This window comes from Homo sapiens, chromosome 3 (assembly GCF_000001405.40).
Source record: "Homo sapiens chromosome 3, GRCh38.p14 Primary Assembly".
Classification (NCBI taxonomy): domain Eukaryota; kingdom Metazoa; phylum Chordata; class Mammalia; order Primates; family Hominidae; genus Homo; species Homo sapiens.
Genome location: NC_000003.12, coordinates 193,543,272 through 193,555,894, shown reverse-complemented (window position 1 = coordinate 193,555,894; position 12,623 = coordinate 193,543,272). Strand labels below are relative to the sequence as shown.

Sequence of the window (12,623 nt, the reverse complement as noted above, 5' to 3'; positions counted from 1 at the left end):
CGGTTCCTATAGTTAAATGATCACACAGCAAGGCCAGTGCAGACAAGCAGCTGGAATACAGGTATTTTGCCAGAGCTAGGGTAGGGGTGTGTTTCTCTACACCACATTGGGACTTCTGACAGTTTTCTTAGACTTCTGTTCCATCTCTTATAATAACAATCCACTTTCTATCATATTTGTTTGGATGTTTGAATCCTTACATCAACACGAGGGTAGCAAATATGACTTAACTTTTTTAGGTAGTCCCTGTGCTCAGGCACTGTTTATTGAATAAATGTGTAAACAAATTAAAAAAGAGTCTGGCCATATAGTCATTTGAATATTTTATTTCTAGACTTCCTTAAGTGTTGAACCATCAATATTTTAGTGAAAGGAGACTACATAGACTAGTTTGATGATACCTTTGTTCTTTTTCTACATGTGTTTCAAAAAAGTAAACTTAATTTCACATACACTTTAAATAGAATTTTTTTTGCATATACAAGGAAATGTGATTACAAATACCTTTTGAAGAGGATTAGTGATAATCTGTACCTTTTGTAAGCAAAATGAATGAGAGTACTATTAGAAACCTGTGGATTGAAGCTTTCATTCATCAAAGAAAATCTGCAGCTCTGTGCGCTTCCGCTCAACCCAATTCCTTAGGTCCTCTGAATAAAGCAGTGACCTGGGAGTTCTTGCACCCGCTCCTCACTCCTGAGAAGGGTCCTGCCAACTCTGTATTGTCCTGTTGGATTTGCAGTCAGAAGTCTGAGGCTGGCAGGCACTGGGCAGGCAATGAGTTCTTTCCCTGTAAGTTGGGCACAAAAAGATCGGCATGGGAGCAGCCTCCTTTGAGACAGCTGCTCTGAGAGAATGCAATAAGCAGGGAGCAGCCAGCAATTCCTCCTAGCAGAGGGCGACTCGTGGGAGGAGTTCAGTTTGCCAAGTATTGTCATTTGTTGAGAGAAGGTGTGTGCTCAAGGAGGAGTTTTAACCTGGAGGATCATTAACTCTTTTAGTCAGCTGAGGAGCTGCGGTGGCTCGGCGAGTTGGAGTTCATCCTGGAAGCGTCTGCACGACAAGGTCAGGGAGGAGGTGTGGAATAACTTTTTCATGGGACACTTTGAGAAGGGCCAGCACGCTCTGCTCAATGAAGGAGAAGAGAATGAGATGGTAAGATTCTAGCCACATTCCCTTCTTCCCATCCCACTTCTCAGCCTGCGAGACACACACACACACACACACACACACACACACACGCACGCATCACACACACACAGACTTTTCTAAAATTTCACTCTGGTATTACACGAGAAAAGGTCATGTTTGAGAAATCTCTCTATCCTGTAAATATAACCTCTGACAGCAGAAATTTGCTAGAATGAAAATATTGTATTCATCTTGTCAAGAATGTTTTCTTTTTAAAGAAAACAGAGAGGGAGAGAAGCACCATGCACTTTATGATTCTTGTTTGAGCCTCATTGGTATAGCCAGTTCTGTTCAAAACACCTAACAATTTTAGGAAATCCCTAATGTGAGGAGCAGTGTATTCCCTGATAGGAAGAAGCAGAAGTTCAGCAGTGAAGCAGAAGTGCAGCTGGGTCTTTGACCTTCTCTTCTCAAATGTCTTGTTCACCGAGTCTGTTGGACAGGGAAGACATGCAATATTAACAATTATCAGCCTACACACATTTCTGTTTTCTTCTAGAATTTTACTTTTGTGGCTTCCTCATTATAGAGATTGGTTACAGAAAACTTTCGGTAGTTCAGTATCTCTTTGATTTTAGATGTGCTTCTATCTTGAGAACTATAGGAAAATCAAAGATGACTTTCATGCTCAGGATGAATTTAAAACTGTATTTCTCAATTACAATATAATCAAGAGAGAGTTAGAAATATGTACTTCTGTTTAATAAGATCTTTCTGCTAATTGTGTAAGCATAGTCTTTTATGCCAGTAATGATGTAATTAAAATGTTAAAATGTGACGCTCTCATTCCATAATAGCATTTAATCTTCCTGGAATTAATATGTAAATAACAAACCTGAAAGATATTTACTTAAAATGTTTTCTTGGTTAATTGCTTTAGCCCTGACTATTACATTCTTTGTTCCTAAACTGGTCTTTCAAGTCTAATCTGCTTACCTGTTCCTATAGCAACAACATTTTTTGGACTTTCAAGAGTAGATCCCTTCTGCTATCAAAGCTGAAAAAATTATAAAGAAGTAAAATGTACATTAATTCAGGTGCCTTTCTTAACCATATCCTTTACTTCATTCAGATTTGACTGCCAAATGAATTGCCTTCAGCCCCTCCACAAATGTCACCAGAAATGGCTTGCTAGCCCACATTGGATATCATCTTTGTTTCTTTAAAGAGTTTTCTTTAGGAAGTGAATATCTCATTACTCTCGATATTAAGTTGAAAAGTTTATCTTCATCTTGAATACTCTTCACCAGAAGGCAGGGGCTCCTTCCTCTGAAACATTTTTTTTCTCTCTCATTTAGAAATACACTCACTCTTTTCCAGTAAACCCCTTTCTGCTCTCAGACAATTTGTCTTTCAAGTCTCAATAAGAATCATTTATTTTCCAGAAGACATTCATGGTTGTAGGGAAACTGTTACCTCTTCCCTAGCATACATATTCCACCAAAGCAATTTAGTTAACAGTTCATCTTCATAATGGCACCATCAGATGCATGGAGAACTCCACGTAGTTTTGTATGCAGCTGAAAGCCCAGTTAGGAGAGGCCCTTTAATATGGAAAGGGACACTGTGTTTTCTGGTAGGCAGCCATTTGGCCAGTAGTCTCAGCAGAGGTGCAGCAATTAGTATGCACTCCTGAGCTCTCCATCCTCTTCTGCCTACAGAAACCTGGCCACCTGCCTGTTGCTGTGTCTGACACTGTGTTCCTTTTTAACTCACTCCTCCATCCCTTGCCCAGAGCAGTAAACTTTAAAAATTATCAAGCTATATATATAGTCTACATATTTTGTAGTGATTTTTAGTATACACAGCATTTTCTTGGCCACTAGCTAATTTAGTTTTCCTCACAACCCTATGAGGTAGATGCTGTGATTCTAACTTTAAAGATGAGGAAATTGATGCACACAGGCTTTCCCTAAGGTTGCATCAACCAGTAAGTCCAGGAGCTGAGGCACCGCACAGGTTAGTTTAAGTTGACAGCTCTTTTGTCTCTGGACCTGAACATAGCCCACTGATACCTTTTCCAGTTCTTCCGGAGAACATTCCACTCTTAACAGAACACATTCCCTTCCTTCATAAAACAAAGCTAAGGAGAACATCAACATCCAGTCTTCTTAGATTCCCCAGCATCTGTTCTGTTATAGATAATTTGAGTTTCTTTTTTCTTCTAGATAATTCGAGTAGCTTAAATAAGTCTGTCTTCTCTGACTTCCAAGTCCAGAAATGTGTCACACCAAAGTGTTTAGTTTCATGCTTTATAATATACTTTACTTGAACCTTTGCAAACGTAATTTCTCTTGTGGTAGAAATTACTTCAAATTTCAAGAGAAAACAACATGCTAGGGTTTAGACCTCATGTCAAATAAAGAAGAATATTCTGAGGCCTAAAGATGCCTGGGATTATCTTCCATTTTGGAGTTAAAAAACCAAAAACAGGCTGGGCATGGTGGCTCGTGCCTGTAATCCCAGCACTTTGGGAGGCCGAGGCGGGCGGATCACCAAGTCAAGAGATTGAGACCATCCTGGCCAACATGGTGAAACCCCATCTCTACTAAAAACACAAAAATTAGCTAGGCAGGGTGGCGTGCACCTGTAGTCCCAGCTACTTGGGAGGCTGAGGCAGGAGTATGGCGTGAACCTGGGAGGCAGAGGTTGCAGTGAGCCAAGATCGCGCCATGGCACTCCAGCCTGGCAACAGAGCAAGACTCTGTCTCAAAAATAAGTAAATAGATAAAAATAAATAAATAAACAAGTAACAAACCAAAAGCAAACAGGAACTAAAGAGCAACCCTAGGTGACCTGAAAATAATATCTTTAACTGCGAAATGAGACAGGACCCAAAGGTAGAAAGAAGCTTTTGGAGGGAGAAGGAAGGAAAGGTGAGAAAGTGGCCTTCAGCGAAGGTTCACCTAAATGACTGCCTCAGAAAGGCTTCGAGGAGGAAACTCTGGGAGAGCACTGGGACGGGACGGGAGGCCTGGCTCTCACCGGCCTTGGGCCAGCCGCTTGCCTGCTCTAGCCTCAGTTTTTATACCTGTAAAATAGGACTGGTCCTTCTTACCCCCACCAGACTCACAGAGTTCTCATGAAGATCAGTGGAGATAATCCATATAAACATGTTTTGAGAAGTAAACAGTTCTGGCGAGGTGTGAGCTGCTATCATCTAAATAAAGGTAGGAAAAGCCAAGGGCTTAGCAATTAACCAATTGAGTAAATACTATCCCACAAAAATGAGGTCATCTCTTGCCATTCAGTTATACCAAAAGGAATATGTACTTTTTTTTTTTCTTTTTGTTACACGGAGTCTTGCTCTGTTGCCAGGCTGGAGTGCAGTGGCGTGATCTCGGCTCACTGCAACCTCTGCCTCCTGGGTTCAAGTGTTTCTCCTGCTTCAGCCTCCCGAGTACCTGGGACTACAGCTGCATGCCACCATGCCTGGCTAATTTTTTGTATTTTTAGAAGAGATGGTGTTTCACCGTGTTGGCCAGGATGGTCTTAATCTCTTGACCTTGTGATCCACCTGCCTCAGCCTCCCAAAGTGCTGGGATTATGGGCATGAGCCACCGCACCTGGCCAGGAATATGTACTTTTATTCATAGGCCGTAGAGACCACTTATAAATGGAGAGGAGCTGGGTTATCTTCTACTTACCTTGTGCATACGTTGGGAAAACACCTACCTTTTTTAGCTTCCTTATTTGTAAAGTGAGAGTATGAGAATGTCTGGGAGCACAAATCTCTTTGAGTCCTGACGTTTTGTATTTCTATTTTGAAGGAATTTAGAACCATTTCCTTATACCATGGCTGAACGAAGGTATCATGGCTTAATTGATTCTAACATTGCTCTTTAGTTACACCTTAACACAATCAATCTTTTGGGGAAGTGTTTTGTTCCAGTGAGACTTTTAAAAAGTAACGTTCCCTGATATTTTTCTCTAGGCCTTAACAAATAAGACAAAAAATAAAAAAACCTTTGAATTCTTTTCTGATTATAAAGGTAACATATGTTTATTGTAAAAATATTGAAATGGCAAATAAGGATCTAAAGAATGAAGTAAATATGCTTCATGAGTTTACCACCAGACATGTCAATAAAAAATGCAGGCTGCGCGCCATGGCTCAAGCCTGTAATCCCGGCACTTTGGGAGGCTGAGGCGTGCAGATTGCTTGAGCCCAGGAGTTCCAGACCAGCCTGGGCAACATAGTGAAACCCTGTCTATAAAAATACAAAAAAATTATCTGGATGTGGTGGTATCCACCTGTAGTCCCAGCTACTTGAGAGGCTCAGGTGGGAAGCTCGCTTTGGTCCAGGAGGTTGAGGCTGCAGTGAGCTGAGATCATATCAGTGCACTCCAGCCTGGGGGATAGAGTGAGACTCCGTCTCAAAAAAAAAAAAAAAAAAACCTAAAATTCACCACTTTCTAACTATTTTGCTCTATCTTCATACTTATCTGTGCTTTTGAGATTATTTGCACCTAATTTATCTGTATCATGGAAATACTAGGTAGTGGTATTACACAGCATGGTGCAATTGTATTTCTTCCGAACTCCTAATTCAGTGACATCACATTGGTAGCTTGAAATAAATAATGTTGGTGCTATTTATGCCACAGAAATCTGTGGATACTACAACGGGACTTCCACCCTGCCCCGCCTGAAGGCCATTTGTTAAATACTTACCAGCACATCACTGAACATATTGTTGCCTCATAATTTCCCTTTTCCCCGCTACATGTTGAAAAACAACATGAATATTGTTTTTGGATATCATCCGTTTGTTTGCATCATGGCAAAACAAGATTATTCCATTGATTTAAAAATTCTATTCTTAAAAAATATACATATACTTAGAAATATGTATCTTTTTCATGTTAGTTTTTTTTGGAGAAAGGGTCTCTGTCTGGGTTGGAGTGCAATGGTGTGATCATAGCTCACCGCACCCTCAACCTCCCAGGCACAGGTGATCCTCCCACATCAGCCTCCTGAGTAGCTGGGACCACGGGCGCATGCCACCATGCCTGGCTAATTTTCCAGTATTTTATGTAGAGAGAGGGTTTCACCATGTTGCCCAGGCTGGTCTGAAACTCCTGGACCCAAGAGATCCACCTGCCTTGGCCTCCCAGAGTGCTGGAATTATAAGCGTGAGCATCCACACCTGGCCAATATGTATTTTTTAACAAAAATGGAGTGATTCTATCTCTACTTTAAAAAAAATTAGACTTTCCATTATACTTACAAATGCTTTATGGATCTCTCTCTCTCTCTCTCTCTCTCTATATATATATATATATTTGATAATTATAGTGTCACATAACCATTTCAATGTTCAAGTTGTGTTTGGATGAATTGTGCTGTATTAGCAGGTTTCCTGTGTTGCACAGCTATTATTTCTAATTTTTTTTTTTTGCTGTGATGAACAACTTTGTACTTAGATATTTATTTATTTTTCAGATTATTTCCTTAAGGTAAAGGCCTAGAATTATTATTACTGCCTCAAAGGGGACATGCATTTTAAATTTGGATTAACACATCATGCCAAATTACCCTTCAGAAGTTATAGTTGTACCAATGTATACTCGGATTAGCAGTCTTTTTTGAGAATACTTGCTTTCTCCTCCATTCATGCTGACATTGAAAATTATCAGTCTTTTTAACTTTGGCTCATTCAGTATACAAAATTGATATTCTGTGGTTGTATTATTTTTACATTTCCTTGATTTGAAGTTGAACACATCTTTGTATGTTTATTGGCATTTATATGTTTTCAACTAGAATCTCTTAATTTTGTAACTGATATTATACCAACCAGTAGTGGGTAACTAAAAACTAGCAGTGGAAAAGCACGGTAAACTCTTTTTGGACTTCCATGTCATTTCGGAGAACCTAGTAATGGGCACATAACGTGGCAGCAGGGTGGTGTGTGGTCGTTACCACATTGGAAGTCCTGTCATGCCTTCAGCAGGAGCTAGGAACATTTTTTTCCACCAATTACTTGGCTCACTTTGATAGCTGATGTTCGTCTTTTCTTCTCTAACACCCGGGAGCAAAAGCACCTCCCCCACCTCAATAGCCACTTGTTTATTATGCTCCATGAGCACCTCTGAGTCAGTTGCCAATGTTAACTAGTGAACCCACAGATCTCATAGTGGGGGAATTGTGTTCAGGCTGAGACATTTTGTCATTTGAAATGTTCAGGAAGCTGGGCCACTGGCCAAGTCTAATGTCTTTATTCTCAATTCATTGCTGCAGAACTCCCATGAAGTCAACTCATCTTCGATATAAATTTTAGAGGAGTGAAATTTAATTGCTTCTTGAAGACAGGGACCCTGCTCAATTAACATTTTCTTGGCTTATCCCTTCCCCTTCCCATTACACCCAGAATTTAACACAGTACCTGGCACAAAAACTCCGGGCATGATAGCGTAATTGCAAGCTCTATTAACTGCAATTTTGCATTCTGAGAACAGGGATGCAGCAGAGCTCAAAAGTAGGAGTGGTTTGAGTAATTTAAAAATAAACCTAGAAAATGTTATGTTATTTATTTGGAGAGGTCAATGGTCAATAGTCTCAGGATTTTATCAATTAGTCCTCCTCTCCCCCAAGAATAACAAAAGCTTATTCTTCAGAGTTAATTAACCATACTATACTATTTTTCTATGAGATACTTTATCTTTTCATCCATTCATGTATAAACCCAACAAGTATTTAAGAAACCTCTACTTTTTGCCAGGAGTCCTCTGTGCTAACCAAGGAGGATTTTGAAAGAATAGCAAATAGCTTCTGTTTTCAAGCAGCTCACAATCGAGTGGCCGTGCTGAGTACATAATTTGCAAGACCCAGTGCAAAGTGAAAACGAGGTGTCCCTTGTTCAACAATTATTAAGAATTTCAGGATGGTGATAGCAGAGCATTAAGCCAAGTGTAGGGACCTTCTGAGCGTAGGGCCCTTCTGAGTGTGGGCCCTGTGTGACCACACAGGTTGTGTGCCCATGAAGTTGTCCCTGCAAGTTAGGAACCCAGGGCTACAAATATAATGAAAGTGTGATATAATAGGTATCATATTGAGAGCTATGCATACAGAACTGTGGGAACACAGAAGAAGGAACAATTTAGTCAAAGAAAACTTCAAGGGGAAAGATGACATTTCATTTGCCTGGAGGGTGGAGTATGATTTTGAAGAACTTTATAAGGCATTCTAATGAGTATCCTTTCCAATGATTCTCAAATATTGATCTATAGAATCAGGTGGGGGAATACACACAAAATAGATTCCTAGGTGCCATTCTAGACCTACTGAATTAGAATCTTTGATGGTGGAGCTGGATTTGGTCAGAATGATTGTGATGCCAGCCTGGATGACACAATGTGGAAGCCACTGGAAGTTTTGAAGCAGAGAGTAATATGGTAGGATATTTTAAAGGATGTTACATCATTGAGTGAGCAAAGTTGGTTGGAAGAGAGAACAGTGAGGAAGTATTTGAAATAGTCCAGGTGAGAGGAATAGGACTAAACTATATAGTCTTGTCAGACAGGACGCTGAGTAAAAAATGGATTTAATAGATATTTAAATGATAGAATTAAGAAGACTTCATAATCCAAAGACTGGGAAGTAAGAAAGAAGAGGTAACAGGATGAGTAGTTATTAAGGATGTCTCTAAGGTTCTTAGCTTGTCCAGTGAGGAAAGATGATAATGCCATTTAATCCCCAAAGGAAAAGTAGGAGCAAGCTGAGAGTAGGGATGGCAATAGTAAGAGCAAATACTTATATGGTGATTGATCTGAGCCAAGTTCGGGACTAAGAACTTTACACATAGTAATTTATTTAATCCTCTCAGCAACCCACTAAGGAACTGTCATCTCTCTTTTATGAATACGAAAATTTAGGCATAGGGAGGTTAAGTGACATTACCAGGTTCGTTTGGCAAAGTAAATGGCAGGCCATGGCTTAAGTCCTTGCCTTAAATAATGGTTTGTTGCCTCTTGTTTTTGTTAAATTTTGGAAGTGCTACTTTAGTTGCTGATGGTAGAAAAAACATTAGGGTGTAATTGAAAGAAACACAACATCAGGAGGCTGGAGACCAACATTGTTGTGTTGGCTCTAACATTATTTATTCTTACAACCATGCAGCACTTCACCTCTCTTTAACACTGGCCTATTTACAAGGTGGAGATAATGTTACCAAAACACCAGGGTTTCAGTCTAGGTCCTGCTGCTGGCTGCATAGAAAGCCAATCACTGAGACAACAAGTATTGCCAGGGAAGATGACTTTCATTTGGGTGCTGCAGCTGAGAAGATGGGAGATCAGTCTCAAATCCATATCCTGACTGACTACAATTGGGGTTTATGCAGCAGGAAAGGAATGTAAGTAACTACATTGGGTAAACAGGAATTAGGGAGTGGTAAGGAAATCATGAGGAATGAGGGACCTGGTTTCTCACTGTCTGAATGTGATGATCTGGTGAGTTTCAGTTCCTTGATACTATTCAGGAGTCCTGAGGGTGGGTTTCCTAAGGGAGGGCCAAATGTAAGTTTCAATCTTCAAGACCTGAGTCAATTTTAATATTTTTATTTTAAAAGACTATAAAGATCACTTCTATGAGACAATTGGGCCAGTTTCAATAATAATACCTTACTGGATTGAACCGAGGCTCAATACAGATGATTTCTTGGGGTCCTTGCCAAAACACACACACACACACACACACACACACACACACACACACACACACACACAATTTAAACATTTTGAAAACAGATAAAATCGCTGTGAAACATCTTAAGAAATTTAAGTAATACTCATTTTTTTTTCAAAGTGCTGTGAATTTTTTGGTCAAGGAAAGAAAAAGCATATCTGGAAACATTAAATCAAATGGGAACTGGAAATTTATGGCAGTTGTTGTGTCAATTACTCATAAATAACGAAATAAGGAGTAAATCTATTGGCAAATGATTAACAGTGCCGAACCGTATAGGGTCCTCAGGCCCATGGAAGACAGAGCACAGGAACTTGAGTTGGCACTTTGGTGAGGGAGTTAGTCATTTGCCGATGGATCCAGAAGAGATTCATTTTGGGTGCCCATTTCAAGGCTTTGTGAAGACTAGACAGAGTAGGTTGACTTGACAAATTGGCTCATAGCTACTTCTGAGTGCCCTTCATATAAACCTTGGTAAGCTGCCTGAAACCACAGGCTGGGTAGAGTTGAAAGGCAGCTCAGAATACCATCTCCTCAACTTTTCCCTCAGCCTAAGGCTATTCTTGTGGACAATGAGTACAGCTGTACCTGAAATGGCCCCTCAGAAAAAGAACAGAGAGGAGGCCCAAATGTCCTGAATGCTTTCCAGAGAAATATAATGTCCTCAGGCCAGGACACTCTGATTTCAGTGGGTACACATGCAGGGCCCTGGCTAAAACTGTAATCACTTCAGCATTTCCAGAATCTGTTGCCTTCTTGGGGGAACTATGGCTGAAGGATTTTGAAACTCTGGTACTTGAGTTTCAGAATCAGTACTTAGAAGATAATATTGTGAAAAATGCTTCATGTTTTGAGGCCAGTTCTAAAACAAAACTATCCAAGAATTAAGTTTGGGTAGATGGAGAGATCTGAGACTATCTTATTTCATGTTTATATTTAACATGTCACATTGACTTTATTTGATATATTTCTGATGAGATGAATTGAAAAATGTGTGCATATATTATGAGTTTCTCTCTTCTCTCCTGACTCAAGTGGGTTGTTAACCTCAATCTTACAAAAGGAGGCACTGAGAAACTATATAATATACCCAAATCTGGCATCTAAGAAGCAAAAAAAACAGAAATTAAGCATAGGCAGATTGACTTCAAACCTTCTGCTCATATCTCAGTGTACTTTATGCTTTTGATGTAGCCTGTTATTACCAGTACCAGTACTAGTACTGCTACATAAGCCCCACACAGTACTTATTAGTTTAGCAGTTATTTTATACTTTGGGCTTATTTTGAACTTGTGAGAAACAAAACCTCCAGATCCCTTTTTGTATAAGTCTTAAATCTCTGATCTTTTGGGCTTAGAAGTGATTAGGATCACAGGTGTTGAAATCAAATCATCTGGATACTCCTTCACTTTTTCGTCATCTATGCATTCCTGTATTGTAGAAGTGGTCTCTCTTTGTGCTCCTGTTTCTCTCCCAGTGGTATCCTCCTGGGCTTATGACTCAGTGCTAGGCTTGTAGTAGAGGTAGACAGGGTTATCTGTTGCACTTGTCCAGACTTAGTCTTAGGTAATCCCTTTGTATCTTAGCTTCAGGGAGTAGTGCTTTGTCAATATTCATATTCTCCCTCTCTGTGGCAGCCAAATCTGTCTTATACTTGTAGTTTTCTTAGGTGAGAGTTTCTTGCTTCTCCACTAGCTATTAATTTCATTTGATTTTAATGTAGAATCCTGGTTTCAGAATAGTGAATGGTAAAAGTTTTTGCCTTTATCCTTCATCCGGCTTCAATTGATTTTTGCTTGTGTCCTGGCAGATGGTTTCTTACTTAGAAGTAATTGGCCTTTGTCAGTTACTATCTCATTCCAGAAGCTTAAATAGTAGGAGAGAAGAGTCCAGAGAAGTAAGAGGGAAGTTGAGCCTGTCTCCTGGAGCCATTAGTCACCTCCTTCAGACCTATGCTGCCAAAGGGAGCTCTCTCTGATGTCCTCCTCTGCCCCCAGTCTGTCTGATGAACACCAACTGATGCTTGGGAAGAAGAGTTTCTGAGTGGATGCCAGCCTCTTTCTGAGTCTCAGACCTTTAGATATTCAAGCTAAACTGATGCTGTAGTCCAAACTTGGACTTTATAAATTTGTTAAAATTTTAGCTCATTTCTTCTTATCACTCATATGGCCAACATCACTTTCATGAGATGCAAAAGGTAAAAACATTGTTTTAACCTGTTTCTTTTTGGAAGAACTTGTTCTTTGGAATTTGGTTTACTTGATTTCCTTGAAACCTTAGCTATCTGATGAGTTCAAGAAAATTTATGACTTCGTGGATTATCTCTATTTTTTCCTGGTTGTTAGGGGGAGTGTGATGTTCTTTGTAGCATTCTACATTCAGAAGCAAAAATCCTCAAGAGAGACTTTTGAAAATCAGATAAAGTGTGTGTTAATGATTGTCCTAACCAGTTGGTTAAGATCGGCTATCAAAAGACTATATGAGGTTGGTTTGGCAAGACTAGTTTAGTGTTGCTTACTTATTCTTAGTGGTTTCTGCATTCTTTTCCATGTGCCCATTTGCCAATGGGGTTGTTTGTTTCTTATAAAAGTTCAAGTTCCTTATAGTTTCTGGATATTAGACCTCTGTCAGATAGACTGCAGACATTTTCATTCAGTCTGTAAATTGTCTGTTCACTCCGATGATGGTTTCTTTTGTTGTGCAGAAGCTCTTTAGCTTAATTAGATCCCATTTATGAATTTT

At 39.7% G+C, this 12,623-nt stretch overlaps 1 protein-coding gene and 1 long non-coding RNA gene across 6 annotated transcripts in view; one reads left to right on the top strand and one right to left on the bottom strand.

Annotated features, from left to right (window-relative positions):
- The window catches only part of ATP13A4 (ATPase 13A4), a 194,153-nt gene that overhangs the window by 37,225 nt on the left and 144,305 nt on the right, over positions 1-12,623 (top strand). For 3 of the 4 annotated variants that reach the window (XR_007095757.1, XM_047449063.1, XM_017007319.2), the window contains exon 3: positions 1,002-1,155. Coding sequence is in view for 3 of the 4 variants with exons in the window: in XM_047449063.1 (XP_047305019.1) it covers positions 1,002-1,155 (154 nt within the window). In the remaining variant the exon portion in view is untranslated. Of the gene's footprint in view, positions 1-999; positions 1,156-12,623 lie in introns of those variants that run through there. The other variant, NM_032279.4, reaches the window with a different exon arrangement.
- ATP13A4-AS1 (ATP13A4 antisense RNA 1) lies at positions 311-2,682 on the bottom strand. 2 transcript variants are annotated; one of them, NR_046726.1, is made up of 3 exons: positions 2,391-2,483; positions 2,128-2,188; positions 311-1,623 (listed from the first exon to the last, which is right to left on the bottom strand). It is a non-coding gene; the product is annotated as an ATP13A4 antisense RNA 1 (long non-coding RNA). The 2 variants fall into 2 exon arrangements; NR_121666.1 differs by lacking the exons at positions 2,128-2,188; positions 2,391-2,483 and adding an exon at positions 2,608-2,682 and having other exon boundaries at positions 311-1,125.